General features: G+C 45.8%; 1 protein-coding gene across 4 annotated transcripts in view; it reads left to right on the top strand.

Annotated features, from left to right (window-relative positions):
- TRPM1 (transient receptor potential cation channel subfamily M member 1) overlaps positions 1 to 23,172 on the top strand; it is a 160,096-nt gene that overhangs the window by 48,283 nt on the left and 88,641 nt on the right. For 3 of the 4 annotated variants that reach the window (NM_002420.6, NM_001252024.2, NM_001252030.2), the window contains exon 1: positions 11,153 to 11,221. The exons of the other annotated variant lie outside the window; for it this stretch is intronic. The gene's annotated coding sequence lies outside the window, so the exon portion shown is untranslated. Of the gene's footprint in view, positions 1 to 11,152; positions 11,222 to 23,172 lie in introns of those variants that run through there. 4 annotated transcript variants of the gene reach the window in all.

Below are 23,172 nucleotides of genomic sequence, written 5' to 3'. Positions count from 1 at the left end.
AATGCTGGGTTACAAGAAAGAAAAGGGGGTTCTTTGTGGCAGGACTTCTCAGAATTTTAATATCCTAATATGCATTGTGAATCTCCAAGAGGAAAATACAGGAAGCAGAGTTGCCCAAATTTAGTTCACGTGGAATCTTTTTTGTTGAGAATGCCTGAGCTCTAAGAGGCCGAGTTTAGAGAATATCACCTTTGGGCAGACGCAGTACTCTAAGAGCTATCTCTGAATCAGGAACCCCTCAAAGTGGACACCACGCCTTTTCATCTCAGCCAATTAAAAAAAAAGTTTAATTGGCCCCTTGGGAGGAAGGAGCTGGGCACCATGAGATGGAGAAACCTCTGCTAAGCAAAGTTTCCCAGGACTGGGGAGCATTTGGGACTAATTGTTAGCAATCCTTAACTAGGGTGTTATTTGCTCAAGAACCCAGACTGGAGTGCAGTGGCACGATCTCGGCTCACCACAACCTCCACCTCCCAGGTTCAAGCAAGTCTCCTGCTTCAGCCTCCTGAGTAGCTGGGATTACAGGCATGCACCACCATGCACGGCTAATTTTGTATTTTTAGTAGTGATGGGGTTTCTCTATGTTGGTCAGGCTGATCTCAAACTCCCAACCTCAGGTGATCCACCCACCTCGGCCTCCTAAAGGGATTACAGGCATGAGCCACAGCTCCCAGCCACTCAATTTCTGAATCAACTCGGGAAGAAGGAATGAGCTTTAAAAAGTAGAATGCCACATCCCTTCTTCTATTGCCACACTTTCCAGCACTTGTCCTACCCAAGCTCTGTATGCTCACACTCTCTACCTTTCTGTTAGCAGCCTTGCCTTGGCCTGTGTTTCAGACTTTTCCAAAGATTTTTTCAAAAGATAAAAATGCGAAGTCTTTGTGCTTATTTAAACAAAAGTTTCGGGTAACAATACTCTATTCCCAGAACAAAAGTTTCACTGCGATTTACTAGGTACAGCCAAATTTTTTTGGGGGGGTGGGTGCTTTGTTTTGCTTTATGGGTTATTGTAACCAATGGGGTAAAATTCAGATTTTAGAAGCGATAAAGCATTACTTAAGGACATGACACTAACAGGAGATCAACTTGAAGACTGTTACGAGCTCTCCCGTTCTAAGAGGGCATGAGGACACAGGAGATAGAAATAACGCCCTGGGCGCCAGGTGTTGAAGAGGGGTGCCATGCGTTGAGCTCTTCTAAACACTGAGACGTCTTCCCGTGTGGACTGTGAGGAGCCACAGCTGCCTACATGGGGCTCAGGAGCATCATTTTGTCCCCAAAGATCCTGTTTTCATGCAGTCTGCTGCTATCAACAAAAGAAGCTTGAAGTCAGATTGAGGCAAAATCATCTCTTGCCATTATTCCTGCCCACATTTCTTCTCAGGAACACAGACATCTTGAAGGAAGAAAAGGTCGAATCAACTTCCATATAATTGGACCCACATTTTGGGAATTTTGCCATCACTCCAGAGTGAAGACTTCAGAAGTGTTAGCCATGGTGTTGGGATTTGAAAGTCCTCCATTAGGTCCCAGCAAAGGGCAGAACGTTACACTCAGACTCTCAGGGATGCCAGCACAGTGACACACTGGGGCTTCTTACGTGCAGTTAGTGGAGTTGCGGATTAATGAGATGTTAGGAGTTTGATGAGAAGGAAAGCCAGCTCAGATAATGCTCTCTGCTAGGAATTTCCGGAAGCTCCAGCTGCAACCTTTACTCATGGCAGGATCCAGGACCAACCAGGTTTACAGCTACAAAGCTGTAACACAATGGATTATCTCCACTACAGAGTCACTGGTTTTATTTTCATTGTAGAGAGTATTCTGAAGATTAAAACAAAGAAACAAAAAACCATTAAATGCTTGGCAGGTTTTTAACCGTGTGTTTGTTATTCTAGCACATATCATCTGCCAGCACTGCAACACAACCCACTGAGGAGCAGAAAAAGCAGAAGGGAGGGAGGGAAGGGGGGGGAGAGAGAGAGAGAGAAAGAGAAAGAAAGAAGAAAGAAAAGAAAAAGTGAGAGAGAGAGAAAGAAAACAGAAAGGAGAAAAAAATGAAAAGAAGGTTCTTAGAATCAGACAGGAAGTAACTGTCCAATTTCGATCCTCCCACTGATAACTCCATGGCCGGTCCTCACAGGCCTGTGCCCTCCAATGGAGGATGGGGAGCAATAGAGGGGCCTCAGGAGGTCTCACTTCCTGAATCCTGAGCCGTAGGGTGCAGAAGAGTGGTGCAAAAAGACTGCTGCCAACGTTCACCTGTTGACGAGGCTGGGCGGCCTACGGAGAACGGCCAGCATATTTTGGCCAACTTGGATCTTAAGGCTCACCAGGAAGACCCTCTGCCTTCCAGACAAAGAGAGGAGTTTCCAAGACCCACGTTCCAAATATCCGACGACCTTATTTTCCTCCAAGTGGGGAAACCTACTTTATTTTTTTCGTCAGTCAGTGGAGAAATGGAAGCAGAGTTTACGGTAATCAAAAGTATTGATAGACCTCTATGTCTTTGCCTAATCTAGTTATCCATTTGTTTATTTTTGTAATTATCTTTTACAACGACACCAAAGATTTTAAATTATTCTCTAGCCTTCTTAATTCATAGAGACATTGTTCAATGAAATATAAATTTAATTTACAAATGAAGATTTTTTTAACCTACCACTTTTATTTCTTTATTTCAGAGATTCTGCCAACTGAGAATCAGTAGTACTAAGCTAGTAGTAGTAGTGCTAACTTATTTTAAATATATGTAAAGAATTCAACAGTATGCAAAGTGGAAGCCCACCTCTGCAGCCAATGCCAGGAGCAATATAATTTTTTGAACCAATATAAGCCTTACTTCAAATAAGACTTTGAAAAGGAAGGTTTTTGGATCAGAGCTTTCAGATCAGGATTCACAAAACTTTTGCTTGGCCAGTGCTGGCCTGAGCCCTTGGACTCCCATCCTGCCCCACACCTGCCCTCTGTCCCCAGCATTATTGTCCTCTTTCTTTGCCCATCGCCCGTCTCCAGCCTGGGAACCAAGCTCCAGCTCACAGGATGTTTCCCTGATGCCCTACTGTCTGTCATCTCCAACTCTAAAGTGCCCCCTTTCCTCAAGTCTGCTGCCAGGACTCCCATCCAAACTATATGCTCAGTTTGAAGCCCCATTACTCCTGGTTTTTTTTTTTTTTTTTAGACAGAGTCTCACTCTGTTGCCCAGGCTGGAGTGCAGTGGCATGATCTTGGGTCACTGCAACCTTTGCCTCCCAGGTTCAAGAGATTCTCCTGCCTCAGCCTCCATAATAGCTGGGATTACAGGCACCCACCACCACGCCCAGCTAATTTTTTGTATTTTTAGTAGAAATGGGGTTTCATCGTGTTGTGGCCAGGTTGATCTCGAACTCCAGACCTCAGGTGATCCACCTGCCTCGGCCTCCCAAAGTACTGGGATTACAGGCGTGAGCCACTGCACCTGGCCTCTTCTTTCTATTTTTTCTTTTTTCTTTTCTCTTCTTTTCTTTTTCTTTTATCTTTTTTTTTTTTTTTTTTTTTTTTTTTTGAGGCAGAGTCTCACTCTGTTGCCCAGGCTGGAGTGCAGTGGCGTGATCTCGGGTCACTGCAACCTCTGCTTCCCAGGTTCAAGTGATTCTCCAGCTTCGGCCTCCATAATAGCTGGGATTACAGGCGTGAGCCACCTCACGTGGCCCATTACTCCCCTTTCTTTTGAAAGCTCCCTCTCCCTTTATGCTTTCCTCTTGCGTGTCAAAGCTGATTGCAGTGCTTCCTATAGTCTGCCTTGTATTTCAAATGTGTTTATATGAGCACTGGCTCCCCTACTAGCATGCAAATCCTCAAAAGTCATTTCTGAGTCATTCCCATATCTCCACACAGCACCAGCAGTGTCTGGAGCATGGGAGAGGTGATCTCAATGATAAATTCAATTAAATAGACTGTGGATATCAAGGAAGCAAGAAGCCAGGGCAAGTAGGTAAAGTCAAAAGACAAGTGACAAGCTGGAAAAAAATACTTTCCACTTCATTACAGTCAAAATTTCACCATATTTGGTATGTAGGAACAAGCTTTAAAAATAAAGAAAAAAGGCTGGGCACGGTGGCTCATGCCTATAATCCCAGTACTTTGGGAGGCCAAGGCAGATGGATCACCTGAGGTCGGGAGTTCGAGACCAGCCAGACTAACACAGAGAAACGCTGTCTCCACTAAAATATACAAAATTAGCTGAGCATGGTGGCACATGCCTGTAATCCCAGCTACTTGGCAGGCTGAGGCCGGAGAATCACTTGAACCCGGGATGCAGAGGTTGCAGTGAGCTGAGATCGTGCCGTTGCACTCCAGCCTGGGCAACAAGAGCAAAACTCCATCTCAAATAAAATAAAATAAAGAAAAAGAGTCTCTAGAAAAATGAGCAAGAGATGTGGAAAGTTCACAGACACAGAAATACAGATGGCCCTTACACATGAAAAGATGCCAACCTTACTCATAGTAAGATAAATGCAAATTAAAACTACATTGACCTAACAGACGTCTAAGAGTATACTACACCCAACAACAAAATACACATTCTTATCATGTGCACATGGACCATTCTCTAGGACAGACCATATGCTAGGCCATAAAACAAGCCTTCATAAGTGTAAAAGGATTTTTAAAGCCATGCAAAGTATGTTCTCCAACCACAGTGGAATTAAATTAGAAATCAATAATAGAAAAAAAAATTGGACAGGCGTGGTGGCTCACGCCTGTAAACCCAACAATTTGGGAGGCCGAGGTTGGTGGATCACCTGAGGTCAGGAGTTCGAGACCAGCCTGGCCAATATGGTGAAACCCCATCTCTACTAAAAATACAAAAATTAGCTAGGCATGGGGTCACACACCTATAATCCCAGCTACTTGAGAGGCTGAGGCAGGAGAATCACTTGAACCCTGGAGGCAGAGGTTGCAGTGAGCTGAGATCATGCCACTGCACTCCAGCCTGGGCAACAGAGCAAGACTCAGTCTCAAAAAAAAAAAAGAAAAGAAAAGAAATTTACAAATTCAAAAGTAAGTGGACATTAAATTACATACTTCTAAGTAACCAGTGGGCTAAAAAAGTCACAAGAAAAGTTATAAAATATCTTAAGATGAACAAATATGAAAAACTATATTGGATGCAGCTAAAATAGTGCTCAGAGGGAAATTTATAGCTGTAAACACCCGTATTAAGAATGAAAGATCTCAAATAAATAACCTAACCTTCAACTTTAGAAAATAGAAAAAGACAAGCAAACTAAATCCAAATCAAGCAGAAGGAAGAAAATAAGACTAGCGTGGAAATAATAAAATAAAGCGTAGAAAAACAATAGAAGAAATTAATGAAACCAAAAGTTGATTCCCTGGAAAGGTCAACAAAATTGAAAAACCTTTAGCTAGACTGGCCATCTAAACAACAGAGAAGACTCAAATTGCTAAAATCAGGAATGAAAAAGGGGCATCACTAATGATTTTCTAGACATATTAATACAAAGGATCATAAGGGAATACCATGAATAACTGGATGCCAACAGATTTTAAAACCTGGATGAAATGGACAAATTCCTGCAAAGACAAATTACTGAAACTGACTCAAGGAGAAACAGAAAAATCTGAACAGACCTATAAAAAGTAAAGACATTGGAGTAGTAATATTTAAACTTCCCATAAAGAAAACCACAGGCCCAGATGGCTTCACTGGTAAATTCTACCAAACTTGTAAAGAAGAATGAAGACCAATCTTTCACAAACTCTTACAGAAAATATAAGTGGCGGGGAGTCATTGCCCAACTCATTTTATGAGGCCAGTTTTACCCAGATATCAAAACCAGACAACAATATCCAAAAAAATGAAGACAACTATATTGCAAAACTATATTGAGAAACCGTTTCTTAATAAGATTGGCAAAATTCTAAAAGTGTAACAACGTATTTTGTTGGTGAGGCTGTGGGAAAACAAGGACTCATAAAATCCCACTGGAAATGCAAAATGCTACAATCTCTATGAAGGGAAGTTTTGCAATATAAGCAAATTTCATATTTATACCCTTAATCCCAGCAATCTCACTTCTCGGAATCTAGCCTAAAGATTACAGACAAATGCAAAAGGACATGTGGCAAGACTTTTTGTTGCTGTGCTATTTGTAGAGACCAAGAGCCACTCAAGTGCCCATTGACACGGGTCTGGTGAAATCAACTCTCATGCATCCACTCAGGGATTCGGGCCACACAGCTGTCAAAAGAAATGAGAGGCAGCCATGTCACCTCCAAGAAAAGTGGAGAAGAGAAGTGCCAAAGGCAAAGCAGAGAAAAGTGTGTAAAGTCCTCTACCATCTTTGTGAGAAAGAGGCGGAGAGAAACAATACATATATATTTATACTTAAAAAGTGAAAGGATAAAACAATAATTTTTTTTTAAGTTTACTTGTGGCGGCCAGGCGTGGTGGCTCACACCTGTAATCCCAGCACCTTGGGCAGCCGAGGCGGGTGGATCACCTGAGGTCAGGAGTTTGAGACCAGCCTGACCAACATGGTGAAACTGTCTCTACTAAAAATACAAAATTAGCCAGGCATGGTGGCACGTACCTGTAGTCCCAGCTATTTGCAAGGCTAAGGCAGGAGAATCCCTTGAACCCAGGAGACAGAGGTTGCAGTGAGCTGAGATTGCACCACTGCACTCCAGCCTGGGCAACAAGAGCAAAACTCCATCTCAAAAAAAAAAAAAAGAAAAGAAAAAGGTTTACTTGTGGGGAAAGAAGAATGAGGGAGAAAGACAGATGCCACAGCCAGACTACTCTGAAAGAATCTTGTTTGCAGATTGGACTTTGCCAAAATGCAAACGTTTCACTTAATTATAAAACAGACTTATATTTAAAAACTAATTCCTAAAACAATGCATGGAAATCCAATGGAAAATTCAATGAGTGAATCTTACTGGAAATCTGCCTTTAGTGTTAGTGCTATTGTTATTTGCTCAGACAGCTCACTAGACACATAATAATTCTCAGACATTGCCAGCGTCTCCCCACAGTCCTCGGATACTGTGTTCCCCGAACTCGCTGTGTATCAAGTGTGTAGAATAACCACACAGAGAATAATAACTTTAAGTTCTTGAAAAAACCTAATAGGACATATGCAAGGTGAAAAAGAACAACAAAACAGTCTTTTAAACTGCTTCCAGTACTGTTAGCAATATGGGTGTGTTACTTGAAACTATATTCAGGATAAAGCAAAAGAGAAAGCTTTTAATGTCATTAGGAATAGGGCTTTTAGCATAAGCAAAAAGAGACACAAACATGAAATCAAGGAAGTTAAGTAAAATCCCTCTGTTTCTAAATTTGAATTGAAAATTATCATGATGCATTTTCTTTACAGATGCACGCGCGCGCGCGCGCACACACACACACACACACACACACACACACACACACAGAGACACACAGCTTCATAGTTCCGCCTGCTGAAAAGGCTCAGAAACAATTCAGTTCAGAAGCAGATCCTAGTTTCTGAATACTGTTTCTCACTCAAAGGAACCAGGGCTCCTTGGAGAAGTGCCTGAGCCTAGATCTGCGGCAAGAAATGTACAAGATGATCCCAAACATCTTTGCATTCCAGATAGCAAAGAGGCTCTCAGAGATTCCTGGGGTGGCGTCAGAAGGATTCAGGAGGCTTTGTGAAACTGGGACCATGTGAACAATAGTAAGAAAAATAACTGCTGTGGATTTAAATGCATCAAATATGTTCAAATCCATGAATTTATACTGACACTCTGAAGAAAAGGAATGCATTAGTCACATTGGAATGAGGCCAAGGAAGCAACCAATTCCACTGGAGATGGAAACCTTTTTCTTGCCTTTCCTCTGCAAGCTGTGCCTCAGAGTGACCAAATCTGCCCAGGGAAAGTTTCTATTTATGGATGAATTCCAGCTAACAAATAAAGAAGAGTCGACCTAATTAGAAGATCACCATTTTGCAGCTGGGCATGGTGGCTCACACCTGTAATCCCAGCACTTTGGGAGGCCAGGGTGGGCGGATCACAAGGTCAGGAGATTGAGACCATCCTGGCCAACACGGTGAAACCCAGTCTCTATTAAAAATACAAAAAAATTGGCCGGGCGTGGTGGCAGGCACCTGTAGTCCCAGCTACTCGGGAGGCTGAGGCAGGAGAATGGTGTGAACCTGGGAGGCGGAGCTTGCAGTGAGCCGAGATGGCGCCACTGCACTCCAGCCTGGGCAACAGAGCAAGACTCCGTCTCAAAAAAAAAAAAAAAAAAAAAAAAAGGAAGATCACCATTTTGCAAGTCCTAGGGATATCATGGCCCTAGACAGTCATCACCAAAGTCCGCCGGCATTGCAAAAGAGATGTCTCCTAACAGAAGGACACACTACCACCAAAAAGTCTTATTGCAAAAGTCCACCTTGAATCTGAACAGGTTTCGAGACTAACTATTGGTCAGGAAGTGCAGGGAACAAAGGAGCATGAGAAACAATATTGCTGGCTCATCTCAGAGTCCAACCAGGACCCTTGGGCCTCCACCTGGGGTGTCCCCTGCTAGCCTGGGGATCTCCCATGACCTCATCAGGGCCCCACACAGGTGAGCATACAGGTCACTGTCCCCACACTCTCACCAACTGTGACCGCCAGCCGGCCTCTTATTCCCTCTGAGGAATGTGTCCTCATGGCTCCCCCATGAGGAGAAGGACTGCACCCCCGCAGCTGGGTGAGGAGTGAGTGGTCAGTATCCACCCTTCACGGTGGTGTTCTTGTGTCCTCAGACGGCTCCACAGACACATAATGATTCTCAGACCTTACAGCGTCTCTCCACAGTCCTCACACACTGTGTCCATGCACCAGGTCATCCAAGTGACTTCATGGGGGAGGATGCCTCTGGAGAGTGGACAGTCTGGTGAGAACCCCTTTTCCCCACAGCTGCAGCTCAACACCGCCCAACAGAAATACAAGGTGAGCCATAGCTGTGAGCCACAGAGCAGAGGCAATTTTAAATTTTCTTTTTTTTTTCTTTTTCTTTCTTTCTCTCTTTTTTTTTTTTTTTGGATACAGAGTCTCACTCTGTCACCCAGGCTGGAGTGCAGTGGTGTGATCTCAGCTCACTGCAACTTCCGCCTCCAGGGTTCAAGTGATTCTCCTGCCTCAGCCTCCCGAGTAGCTGGGATTACAGGCACCCACCACCATGGCCGGTTATTTTTTATATTTTTAGTAGAGATGAGGTTTCACCATGTTGGCCAGGCTGGTCTCGAACTCCTGACCTCAGGTGATCCACCTGCCTCAGCCTCCCAAAGTGCTGGAATTGCAGGCGTGAGCTGGGCCAATTTAAAATTTTCTAGTAGTCAGTTTTGAAAAGTAAATAGAAGCAGGTGAAAAAAATTAATAACATTCTATTCAACCCAACATGTTCTAAATATTTCAATGTGCAATCGATTATTATCACAAGTCTTGGCAATCCCGTGTATATTTTACATTCGGAGCATATCTCAATTCTGACTGGCTCTGTTTCCAGCACTCCATAGCCACGCGTGGCCTGTGGCCACTGTGTGAGACATCTCAGCTCCCAGTTGCAGGCCACACTGCATGGACCCTGGGGAGGAGGGGTGTTCTCTTGGGGAAGGATGGGGCTCCCATTGTTTCCATCTTATCTGAACCTGAAAAAGAGCTTATTTGTCTAGTGAAGGGCCCACTGCCTGGAGAGCCACTGACTGGCAGCCGGTCGGGCTGGCCATTGGTGCTGACCACAGAGCCTCCACACCTCCCAGCCATGGCAGTGCCGGCCATCAGCTCACTTCCCCATGTGGTCTTTCCCCACTGCTCCCAGACTGATTTCAGATGCCCCGGATTGCCCTGACTGTGCCTTCAGAATTCCGGCCACGTAGCACCCTCCCTCAGCCCCCGGAAGGGTTCCCGCTGAAGCCGTGACTCTCTCAGGCCTCAGGAGCCAACACCAGTTCAAGAAAGAAGACTCGGGAGCCAGGCCAGGGAGGCTGCTGCGGTCATTGTGCGCCCAGGGGCTGTGCGCGCTCCAGCAAAGCACGTGGGAGCCACTCACCAGACCCTTTGCACGCCCACTCTGCGGTGACAGACCCTGAGAGAAACGAATGAAAGCAAAGACAGACCCAGAAAATGGCCTGGCACATGTGCTTCCGTCAGAAGTTCAGAGATTCCCTGAGCCCCAGGCTGTCTGCCAGGCATTGGGTGGGGGAGTGAGCCCAGCCTCCAGCTTCAGGACTCTACATATGGGCAGAACTTGACAACCTGGGCACTCCCACTCCACCCCACCTGCTCTCTGGGCAAGCCACCCTCTCACATGACTCAGAGTCCTCATCTGTAAAATGGGAACACCCCTAATTGCCCTTACGTCCAATCTGTCTGCTCCTCTGTGAGAAGCGGGAGGCGGACAATGCCCAAGAGCCTCAGATGCTGGGGAAGACCCAGCCCCTCTGCAGAGAGGGATAGTTCAGGGTTTGGGTTTTTTCTTTCCTCCTGGGCTGAGAAAGCTCATGGAAAGCTGGAATAACCACGCATACTGTTACAGCAAATCCAACAGAGCTCCCACCGTGGTGGTTTTCAGGTGACTGTGGATGCCAAGCAGGCAAGCTCCTGGTGAAGGGGGGAGAGCAGGGATTAGAAGCACTCAGAAGGGGCTGAGAGTCATGTGGGGCTCACACTGCATTTGCAGCTGGGTTCACCCTGACCTCAGGCCCAACTTAGATGAGGAAGGATTAGCAGTAATTAGTGCCATGTGCCGCCTTCTCCCAGCTCCCCGGGGCACGAACACTGCCCAGCTGATGAGGGGATTCTGAAAGAACCATTATGTCCAATTGTCTCAATTATGCAAACCCTGCTGACATTTCCAGCCAGGGAAGGGCGGCTGGGTGGGAGGGGGCCATGGCGGGGCCACTTCAAAGGAAAAGCTCTAGCTCCCCTACCTCTCTCACATCCTAAGGCTGCCTTTGTGGGATTCCACACAGAACAGCCTGGAAGCTTGGGGCCCTGGCTTCCTTTTCTGGCCTGGGAGTCAGGTCATGGGGCCATCGCTTCACAGCAATCATGAGGGCCCAGGCCCAAGTGCTCACATGCTCCTCATGGGGACTGCTCCTCTTAAAGGGTGGGCCCTCCTCACCCAGCTCCCTGCCCTGGCCAAGGAGGAGGCTGAAAGAGCCTGAGCTGTGCCCTCTCCATTCCACTGCTGTGGCAGGTAAGCTCAGATGCGGGTAAGCACAGGTGAAGGGAGGTCAGGTGCAGGTATCCTCAGGTGTGGGTAAACTCAAGCGTGGACAAACTCAGGTGCAGATAACCACAGATGCAGTTAAGCTCAGGTGTTGGTAACCTCAGGTGCAGGTAGGCTCAGGTGCAAGTAAGAGCAGGTGCAGGCAAGCTCAGGTGTGCTTTCTGGGGCCTGTTACTCATCTCCTCTTGAGGCTGGCTGGACAGGACCCTATGGAGCAGCTGGTGAACCTGTGTTCAGCCTGGGTTCCAAGAGGCTGTCTCAGCAGAAGGGACCCACCAGGTTGATTCACAGAGGGGATAAGTACTCTGTCAGCTGGTCTCAAAGAGGCTGAAACCCTCTGAGCTTCCCTCAGGGCCAGCTTCTAAATCCAGGTGCCAGGGATCTGCTCAGGAGCCCCGGCTCCAGGCCTCAACCTCTTGCCTGTCATTCCTTAGCATCTTACTTTGCTTCAGGGAAAAGGTGCACCTTCCTTAGAACCCCAGAAAATGCTGAAGTTCTAGGAGAGACAGGGTTTATACTTGTAAGCCTTTATCAGCTGATATTTCACCTGTGAAAGCCTTGGGGAAGAGATTGGTTACACGGAACAGGATCAGGAGGGGAGATTACTGCTCCCTCTCACTGCTGGGAGCAGTGCAAACTGGTTTCTGGAAGGCAGTTCAACAACATGCAGCAAAGCCCTGCAAGTCCACACCTAGGAACCCATCCTGAGGAGCGAATCCTGAAGGGATGCCAACATTGACACAGCTTTGTGTGCTACCGGGAAGCACAGCAAACAACCCAAACGCCCAGAAGCAGAGGGCTGGACACATCAATCATGGTCTGTCCATAGGATGAAACATCACGCAGTCACTTTTAAAATGACAGAGAAAAAGGCATAATAACCGTACAGAATTATTGTGTTTTTCATTACACACACATGCACCTGTCTAATCTATTCACGGAAAAAGCCTAGAAATACAAGGAAATATCAGTTGTTTTAGGATGGAGGCCTTATGGGTGGTGTTTATTTATTCTTTTGTACATTTCTACATTTTTTGTCTTCTTTAATCATTTTCTATCACAAATTAATTTTCCTTTTTTTCCCAGAAAATATATCTTTTGTACTTTTTATTAGTACATCATAGTTGTGCATATTGTGGGGGTACATGTGATTTTTTGGTGCATGTATACAATGTGTATGTTTTTTTAAACCTTAGCAAAAATTAGCAAAAGTAGTGGGGGAGGTAGGGAGGAATGAAAATATTTGCAGGGCCAGGCGCGATGGCTCATGGCTGTAATCCCAGCACTTCGGGAGGCTGAGGCAGGCAGATCACGAGGTCAAGAGATAGAGACCATCCTAGCCAACATGGTGAAACCCTGTCTCTACTAAAAATACAAAAATTAGCTGGGCATGGTAGTGCGCGCCTGTAGTCCCAGCTACTCGAGAGGCTGAGGCAGGAGAGGTTGAACCCAGGAGGTGGAGGTTGCAGTGAGCCGAGACTGCGCCACTGCACTCCAGCCTGGGCGACAGAGTGAGACTCCATCAAAAAAAAAAAAAGAAGGAAAGAAAGAAAGAAGAAAGAAACAAAGAAAGAATATTTGCATAAATTGTGTTTGCGTTGACAAGGGATAGGAACTGAGAATGGGGAAGGAAGATGAGACACATTTTCTCTGTCTGAATCAGATATTTAGGGAGGAATTAAGAACGGAGCCCTGCCTCTCTATGAGTGCACTTGATGAATACGGGACTGATTCTGGGAAAGACTGCCTTTGGTCAGGTTCTCAAAACACCATTGTTTTGAACTATCCAGCAGCAGTTTTAATTCATGGCATTTGCAATTATATTTATAGCATAAATTGTCTATTCTCTGCAGTGTATTTTTTAGCCCTCCTCCCCCAGAAAATGTAATTGGAAATATCAACTCATGTTGAATGTGTTTGCTGTACCTGTTTATGTTTTATTGATTATTTTCTGGGAGAAGTTTGGAGTTGTGTTTGGTTTGGCTCTGTGCAACCTCATTTATTTGCTCTGTAAAGCTGATAAGCACAAGAAGTGAAATGACACTCAGGCATTTTAAGATGCGAGTCATCTTCATTCTGAACTAAGTGAAAACAAAACAGATTTTCTATCAACCTAAAATCCTCCTACTGGGGGCAGTAGATGTTTTTAGAAAATTGGCTTTGGCTTTGATTGACAATGTTTGGAAGATGTCCTATAATTTGAGAGTGTATGTGTGTGTGTCTGGGTGTGTGTGTGTAAATGCTGGACCTGGGAAGATGGAAGCCCTCAGCCAGGAGAATAAGAGGACACAATACCCCCAAGCCTTCCATGACCTAGAGATTAAGGGGATTTAACGTCTTAAAACCTCCATTAAGTAGACAGTAGCAAGAGACATGTTGCCCTCAGTGATATGCAAAGGCATATCTGATGGGTCAGTATCTGCCATCCTCCTCTTTTGCAAGCTCTGAGGTTAGACTCAGCCATGGGTGAAGGAATTACAGCATCCATTGGGAGCAGGCAGAGTCCAGGAAAGAGATTTTTCTGTTACCTCAGATGCCCATCGCGCCAGGAGCAATTTTCCCAGCCTCTTGTAGAAAGCACATATTAGTATCTATCTCACTGCTTTTCAGAAACTGTATCTTCAATTGCTAAGTGGGGAAAAATGCATTTACAATGCTAGAGCTGACTTTAAGAAAACAAGTTAACATCAGGCCACAGCACTCCCCTCCCCCGCTGCTGAGACCTTGTCGCTGTGCACCTTGTCCCCTCCCTCACGGCTTCTGGCTCCCGCTCCCCCAATCCCTGGCCCCCTGTCTGCCCCTGCCATTAAAGTGGCAAGCACAGGTATCCTCCTCCCTCATCACAACTTATCCATCCTGTGTCTGCTCCCCCAGGGTGGGTAATGCCTGAAATGCCTTAAGGTAGGGGTAACGCTCATGGCAGGTGGCCCTGGCTCTCCTGGAGACAGGGCACAGGAATGGGCAAATTCTTCAGGCTTGGTGAGGTGGAAAGCTTGCTCCTCGGGAATCATGGCCACAGTGCCCTTTTTTGTTTGTTAATCATTAAAAAGCATACTACATGAATATATAAAGTTGGAAAACCCCACAGAAGAGCCAAGTGAAGTCCTGCTTACACACTCCTCCTGATCCCTACTCTCCCGTGCTGTGGACCATGCTTAGTGTTTGACGTGTATTATTATTATTTTTGTGTGTGTGTGACAGAGTCTTGCTCTGTTGCTCAGGCTGGAGTGCAATGGCATGATCTCGGCTCACCGCAACCTCCGCCTCCCAGATTCAAGCGATTCTCCTGCCAACTAGCTGGGATTACAGGTGCCCGCCACCACGCCCAGCTAATTTTGTATTTTTAGTAGAGACAAGGCTTCACCATGTTGATCAAGCTGGTCTCAAACTCCTGACCTCAGGTGATCCGCCCACCTCAGCCTCCCAAAATGCTGGGCTGGGATTACAGGCGTGAGCCACCACGCCCGGCCTGATGTGTATTATTCTAGACCTCTGCTGCCTAATAGAAATAGCACACGCGCCACAGACATAATTTCAAACTGTGTAGTAGCCACTTAAAAAGGAAAAGTAAAAACAAATAAGTGAAATTAACTTTAATTCTATAATTCATTTAACACAATATATCTAAAATATGATTGTTTCAACATGTAGTCAATACCAAACACATACTAATGAGGTATTTTATGTCTTTCTTTATTGTTCTAAGTCTTTGAAATCCTGCCACACACCTCGTTTTCAGCTCTCATGTCACAGTGAACATTAGCGTGCCATCTCACACTCACAGCATGTCTCCATTCACCCTGGCCACATCTCAGGTGCGCAACAGCCCCAGGTAGCCAGGGTCTACCATGCGGGACAGCTCTGCTCTTGAATATCGGGAAGTTTGTTCCTGTAGAGCTGGATCACATCGGAAATATTTTACTACGCTTTTTTTTTCAATTCATAATGGAGACGTTTACACTTTAGAGTTCTGTGTTAGTCTTGTTCATGGTTGCATAGTCCATGATTTGGTACGTCGTTAATTGGTTTAATCAGTCCCCCAGGTAGACTAACAAAAAAGTGGAGGTTTCCAATTTTTCACTTAGCTTAAAATACACTGCAACAAGCATCCATACATTGCCTATTTACATGCAAAAGTATTTCCAGGTGATCGATCCATGGAAGTGAAAGTGCTGGGTCAAAGACAGGCATGCACCCTTTGCTCTGAGAGGCAAGCCAGTACTCAGCCAAGCCGGCCACCAATTTGCCTTGGGGTTTGGACGTTGTTCCCTTAGAGGTAAAAGCAAAGAGTTGGGCTGGATACCCTCCATAGTTCCTAAATGCTCAGTTCCATGGCCCAAAGGGTGGTGATTCCTGCCAATGCCTTTGGTGGACGTAGTCTTGGGTGGGTGGGTGGGTGACAGCTACCTGCTCCCACTGGAGGGCAGGCCTGGATTGGGCAGATAAGCAAATCAACCACACACACCTTGTCTAGATAAGCAGAAAACACTCAGAAAAGACCCCAATTGTTTTATTTGTAAAATTGCTCTTTGGCTAATTTTCATGAATGTGGATCATTCATTAAACGTTATCATAGAAAAAGAGCAGAGCAACAAAGGGGCCCGGCAGTCTGATTCCCGTGCTGGCAGCCTCCACCGTCACGCTGAGCTGTGGTGAATGCCTAGGGTTTCACCCGCCTACCCCTCACTCCTGCTGGCGTGCACCCTTTCCCCACCCTGGTGGCCCCAGCAAACATCACAGTCCCTGAGGGCCAGGAGGCTTGGGTCCCCAGATGCCCACACCTGACAGGCCTAGTGCCTGAGCACTCTGGTGAGGGACTTCCCTGGACCATGGGAGCACTGCCAGAGGAGGCTCGAGGGCAGGGACCTGGATGGGTAGCAAAGGACAGAGAACATCGGGAAAGGAGAGGGTACTACCTGTGGGAACCAGGCAGGCACAAGAGGCTGGCCCTGAGCCTCTGCGCATCTCTCCTGCAGACACTGGCTGCACCTGCCTAGCCTCTGAAACCCAGACCAGGCACTCAGGCAATGAGGGGAGCTCCTTAACACAACACCTTCCCAACTGCTGTGCTTTTCGGAGTGAGCTGGCCAGGTGATGTTGGCCAAAGCAGGAAGGGGAGCTGTTGAGGTGCCCCAAGATCCTTGCTGGAATCCTCAGGTTCCCAGACAATCAGGGTAGACCCGGTGATGGGAGAAGGAGATGGGGACACACATGGATCCGAAGCTACAAGATTCTGCTTCTCTCTCCTGTTTTTGTTTATTCTTTTAAGATGTTTTATTGCTAAATAAAGCATTTTAAAAAGTGTATAAGATGTCTGCACATAGTTTAGAGAATGATAAAGCAGATCCTTGTGTTTTACCATGGGGCCCTTTCCCACTGCACTCCTTCCCTCCCAGAGGCAGCACTGCCTGACTTCTGCCTGGCTCGTTCCTGCCTTTGCTCTTTCTTTCTCTCTTTTTCCCTCCCTTCCTCCCTCCCTTCCTTCCTTCTTCCCTTCCCTTCGTTTCTTCTTTTTCTTTCCTTCCTTCCTTCTTTCTTTTCTTTTCTTTTCTTTTCTATTTTTATTTTTATTTTTTTGAGACAGAGTTTTGCTCTTGTCACCTAGGCTGAAGTGCAGTGGTGCTATCTCGGCTCACTGCAACCTTCACCTCCCATGTTCAAGCGATTCTCCTACCTCAGCCTCCCAAATAGTTGGGATTACAGGCAACTGCCACCACGCCTGGCTAATTTTTTTGTATTTTTAGTAGCGATGGGGTTTCACCACGTTGGCCAGGCTGGTCTCGAACTCCTGACCTCCAGAGATCCACCCACCTTGGCCTCCCAAAGTGCTGGGATTACAGGTGTGAGCCACTGCGCCTGGCCCCTGGCTTTTCTTTATGTTTCATTTAGTTTAGTTTTGAGGTTTACATATTTTTTATATTTATTTATTTATTTATTTTCAAATGGAGTCTCACTCTGTCGCCCAGGCTGGAGTGCAGTGGTGTGATCTCAGCTCACCGCAACCTCTGCCTCCTGGGTTCAAGCTATTCTCCTGCCTCAGCCTCCCGAGTAGCTGGGATTACAGGCGCCTGTCACCATGCCTGGCTAATTTTTGTATTTTTAGTAGAGACGAGGTTTCACCATGTTGGCCAGGCTGGTCTCGAACTCCTGACCTCAGGTGATCCACCCGCCTCGGCCTCCCAAAGTGCTGGGATTACAGACATGAGCCACCATGCCCAGCCATATTTTTAAATAATTTATTGAGATGAAATTTGTATCACATAAAATGGACCATTTTCAAGTGACCAATTCAGTGGTATTTAGTACAGTCATGAGGTCATGCAACTACCTTGTCTCTCTGTCCTTACTTCCAACACTACAAAGTAAAACCCCCTACCCATTAAGCAGTTCCTCCCCATTTCCTCTCCCTGTGGCCTTGCCCCTGGAAACCACTAGTTTGTGCTTTGTCTGTATGGATTTATCTATTCTGGATGTTTCATCTAAATGGAATCATACATATGTCACCTTTTATGCCTGGCTTCTATCAGTTAGCATCACGTTTCCAAGGTTCACCCATGTGGCATGCTTCAGAACTTCGTTCATTTATGTGGCTAAATAATATTCTTTTGTTTGTATAACATATACCACAATTTGTTTATCCATCTATCCACTGATGGACATGTGAGCTATGGCCACCATTTGGCTGTTATGAATAGTGCTGCAATGCTACATGTTTATTTGAGTCTCTGTTTTCATTTCTCTTGGGTATATACCTAGCAGTAAAATTGCTGGGTCATATGGTAATTCTACATTTAACTGAGGAACTGCCAAATCATTTTCCAAAGTGACTGTACCATTTTACACTTTCACCAGCAATGTCTGAAGGTTCCAATTCCTCCACATCCTTGCAAACACTGGTTACTATTTTTTTATTTTGGGATGTTTTTAATTATAATCATCCTAGTAGGAATGAAGTGGCACCTCATCATGGTTTTGATTTGCTTTTCCCTAATGTCTAAAGATGTTGGGTATCTTTTCATGTGTTTGTTGGCCATTTGTATATCTTCATTGGAGAATTGTCTATTCAAGTCCTTTGCCCAGTTTTTAATCGGGTTGTCTTTTTGTTGTTGAGTTGGAAGAGTTCTTTTATATATTCTGGATATTAGACCCTTGTCATATTTTGATTTGCAAATATCGTATTCCATTCTATAGGTTGTGGGTTTTTTTCCTTTCTTAATAATGTCCTTTGATGAATTTGATGAACAGTTTTTCATTTTAATGAAGTTCAACTTACCTGCTTTTTCTTTTCTTGTTCATGCTTATGGTATCATATCTATAAATCCATCGATCATGAAGATAATGAAAATTCACACATATATTTTCTTTTAAGAGTTTTATGGTTTTAGGTCTTACAATTTAGTCTGATCCATTTTGAGTTAATATTTATAGCTAGTGTGAAGTAGGGGTCCAAATTCATTCTTTTGCATGTGGATATCCAATTTTCCAAGCACTATTAGTTGACAAGACTGTCTTTTCCCCCATTGAATGGTCTTAGCACCTTTGCTAAAAATCACTTGGACATAGATATATGGACTTATTTCTGAAATCTCAATCTTACTCCACTGGCCTGCATGTCTGTCCTTATGCTAGTACCATACTTCTTTGATTACTGACGCTTTGAAATTCTGAAATCAGAAAATATGAGTCCTCTAACTTTGTTCTTTTTTTCAAGATTGCTTTGTCGGCCATGTGCGGGGATCATGTTTGTAATCCCAGCACTTTGGGAGGCTGAGGCGGGCAGATCACTTGAGGTCAGGAGTCGGAGGCCAGCCTGGCCAACATGGTGAAACCCTATCTCTACTAAAAATAAAAAAAATTAGCCAGGCATAGTGGCACATGTCTGTAGTCCCAGCTACTCCAGAGGCTGAGGCACAAGAATCACTTGAACCTGGGAGGCAGAGGCTGCAGTGAGCCGAGATCATGCCACTGCACTCCAGCCTGGGCAACAGAGCAAGACTCCATCTCAAAATAAAAAAACAAAAAAAAAAACCAGATTGCTCTGTCCATTTAGCCCATTGCAATTCATGAATACAGGATGTCTTTCCATTTATTTATTTATGCCTTCTTTAATTTCTTTCAGCGAGGTCTTGTCACTTTCAGTGTACAAGGCCTTCACCTCTTTGGTTAAATTTATTTCTAGATACTTTCTGATTTTTGATGTTATTATAAATTGAATTGTTTTTGCTGTACAGAAATACATCCAATTTTTGTATGGTGATCTTTCACCCTCCACTTCTGCTATATTAGTTTATTAGCTCTAGTAGCTTTTTTGTGGATTCTTTGGGAGCTTTTTTAATCTTTTTTTTTTTTTTTTTTTTTTTTTTGAGACAAAGTCTCACTCTGTCGCCCAGGCTGGAGTGCAGTGTCATAATCTCAGCTTAGTGCAACCTCTGCCTCCCAGGTTAAAGCAATTCTCCTGCCTCAGCCTCCTGAGTAGCTGGGACTACAGGTGTGTGTCACCACACCCAGCTAATTTTTTTATTTTTAGTAAAGACAGGGTTTCACCATGTTGGCCAGGCTGGTCTCGAACTCCTGACCTCAGGTGATCCACCCGCCTCAGCCTCCCAAAGTGCTGGGATTACAGGCATGAACCACTGTGCCCGGCCCCTTATTGTTTTATTTTGAACTTCATCTGTATTTCTAAATAATGCATTGTTGAGCTTCACCTGCTTTTGAACTTTATACAAATGGAATCACACTGTGTGTATCTTTGATGACTCATTTCTTTTCTTCTGTGCTGTGTTTGGAGAGTCACCCATATGGTAGCTGCAGTTTGTCTGTTCTCGCTGCTGTGTGATATTCCTGCGGGACTATACGGCAATGTACTTGTACATGCTACCGCGGCTGGGCATCTAGACGGCTCTGTGTTGAGTGCTTATGAACAGTGCGGTCTCCTGGAAGATACATACATGCACAAGTATATTTCCAGTAAACCTCAGTGTGGAAGTGCTGGGCTGTGGAGGATATGCCTGCTCCACTTCCTGAGACAACGAGAAATCGTTTTCTGTCCTCCTGAAAGGGGAAGGCTCAAAAGCAAATGCCCATTTTGGAGAAAACATTTTGAATCTGCCAAAGGAGACCCTGAGTAATGAGGGACAGGGCTGGGGGTCCAGGTCCGGCTGCCTGGCCGCGTGGTCGGCCTGGGCTGGTGGCTCCACTGTGACCCTCCATCTCCTCTTTTGGTGCCACTCGCCTCCCAGAGCCCCTACCAAAACCCTAACTCATCCACAGCCCCAGTTTCTTCGTTCGTAAAACCAGGAGAGCTGGTGGTCTCTGCAGACTTACAACGCACCGACACCACACCTTTATTCTGTGGGACCGTCACGGTGGTCACCACAGTTAAGAAATGAGACCCTGCACTCTGCCTTGCCCCTGCTGTTCCCACTCCCAAGAGCATTTTCCCCAGAGCTCCTGCCTGGACCAATCCTCTCATCCTTCAGGGCTAAGCCAGTGTCCCACCCCACCCCACCCCACCCCTCAAGAGCCTCCTCAGTCCAGAGAGAAAAACTTTCTCCCTCATCCCGGCCCCTCCTAGACCACTTTATGGGGGCTTGGGCCCACCTGGGAGCTCCGAAGGGCTGAGTCCCCTTGACATATCTGGAGCCAGCAGAGCCCACCTCGTAAGAGGGCTTTGCAAGCTAACAGTTGAGCCACATGCATGCTGGGCTTTTTGTGTGACATTCAAAGTGGTCCAGGTTACAAAGGCCCCACTGAACTTTTGAAGAAGGTGTTTTTTGTTTTGTTTTGTTTTGTTTTCCCATAATCCTCCCAAGTTTTACAAGCTGAGTTGTGAGATGTGTGGGAACGTTCATCTATAAATATATGAGCAGCCCAGACACTGACCATGAGTCACTGGTCACCACAGACCACACTGGGTCAGGACAGCCCCAGAGGAACACAGCGCACATGTGAACCTCTTTGGGGGGTTCTCCCGCCCTCACCACCAAGTGCCACTCCTTATTCTTCTCTGTAGGACCACTCCCACCCGGTCAGCCTCCCAGGAACAACCCCTGCTGCTCCCAAGCCCAGCCCTTCAGGAGTGCCCCTCCGTGCCCTTCCCTGCCCTTCGGATCTGCCCCATCCTGGGTCTCCATCCCTCAGAGCCGACTGCAGCTAACTGGCCAACCTGCTAAACAGGTGGTGCTGAGATCTGAGAGGCGCTTACTGACTTAACATGTGCACGCTGGTCCCCAGCAGCCCCAGAAGTCCATTTAACATGGATAGTGACATCGTCCACAAAGGGCAGAGTGGGCAAATACTTGCAAAAGCCTTGGAAAAACACAAACCAAGATTTACGTCCAGCACTGTTAGGGCTGTGAGTTCTGGAGTGAAGCATCTCTGTCTCATTGTGTCCGATCTCCAGCACAGCAGGCGAGGCCCGGGTTTCACTCTCAGCTCTGCCATCCCACTGGCCTGCTGCTTCCTCGGCCATGGATGAGGGAATTGCAGACAATGTCATCAGTCCACCCAACCTACCCAACAGATCCCAGGCATTGAAACAGAAGCAGAACTATTACCCTCGTTGCACTTTTTTTTATCAGCTAATGCTTAAGAAACTTCAAAACTGTTTACTGAATACAATCGCTGCTAGACATTGGGCTTGAAGTTTTACACACTTAATCACACTTAATCCTTACAGAAACCATGAGAAATCAGCCTCATTACTCCATGTCATAGACAAGCTAATCAAGACTCAGGAAAGTTAAGTAAGTTGGCCAAGGTCATAAAGATAAGAAATGGTGGATCTGGGAGCTGACTCAGGTACGTCTAAAGCCCAAGTTCTCCTTCCACCACACTGTTTACTGTATTTTTTTTAAAAAAAGAGCCACTTTCAAAGCTTAAACTCGAAGAAATGGCCTTAATAGTAAAGCTTTCCAGCACCATTCAGACTTGTTGGGAAGATTTTTTCCAGGGTGCAGTTTCTTTTTTTTTTTTCTTTTTTGTTTTTGAGATGGAGTCTCACTCTGTTGCCCAGGCTAGAGTGCAGTGGCACAATCTGAGGTCACCGTAACCTCTGCCTCCCAGGTTCAGGTGATTCTCCTGCCTCAGCCTCCCGAGTAGCTGGGATTACAGGTGCCCACCACCACACCTGGCTAATTTTTGTATTTTTAGTAAAGATGGCATTTCACCATGTTGGCCAGGCTGGTCTTGAATCCCTGACCTCGTGACCGGCCTGCCTCGGCTTCCCAAAGTGCTAGGAGTACAGGCATGAGCCACCACGCCCAGCCCCAGGATGCAGTTTCATATGGAAAATACCACATGGAATCATTTCTAGAAAGCAAGAATCCCGGGGACAGCCACACCGGAGAACACCATGCAGCTGGTTGAAGGGTGAGGAAGCTGTCTGTGTAATGGCTCAAAAAGACTCCCATAAATGTTGCTAAAGTTTCCTTTTAAAAAGTCCTTTACGAGAGCATGTGTGCTGAGAACCAGGAAGAAATAGCTGAAGGGAACGCACCAGTGTTCATGGGGGTTACTGCTAGGGGCTAGGGTTGCAGAGGAAAAAAAGATAATCACTTTTTTGTTTCAATATTTCCGTATACTTTTAATTTGTTCCATTGAGCACATACTAGTTTAGGGTTTTTTCATTTGTTTTAAATTTTAAGCAAAGAAAAACCAAACACACACACACCGTAGTCACTTCCCACCCCCACACGGTGCTCCCGGCCAACCCAGGATCCTCTGCCCCAGGTGACATCAGTTCCCTGTGCGCCACATGGCACAGTTATCCCCTTACTCACAAGGGCAGGCAGAAGTGCCTTCCGCGGTGTTCTGGGGCCCAAAAGCTTATGCACTTTGGGGACACCATGTTGAGGAAAATGATACTAACCTATTACAAGTCTAAAGCAAGCTCCAGGCCTTGGAGAGGTCATCCAAGT

This window comes from Homo sapiens, chromosome 15 (genome assembly GCF_000001405.40).
Source record: "Homo sapiens chromosome 15, GRCh38.p14 Primary Assembly".
Lineage (NCBI taxonomy): Eukaryota > Metazoa > Chordata > Mammalia > Primates > Hominidae > Homo > Homo sapiens.
The sequence above is the reverse complement of the archived record's forward strand: the minus strand, read 5'-3'. Positions and strand labels throughout refer to the sequence as shown.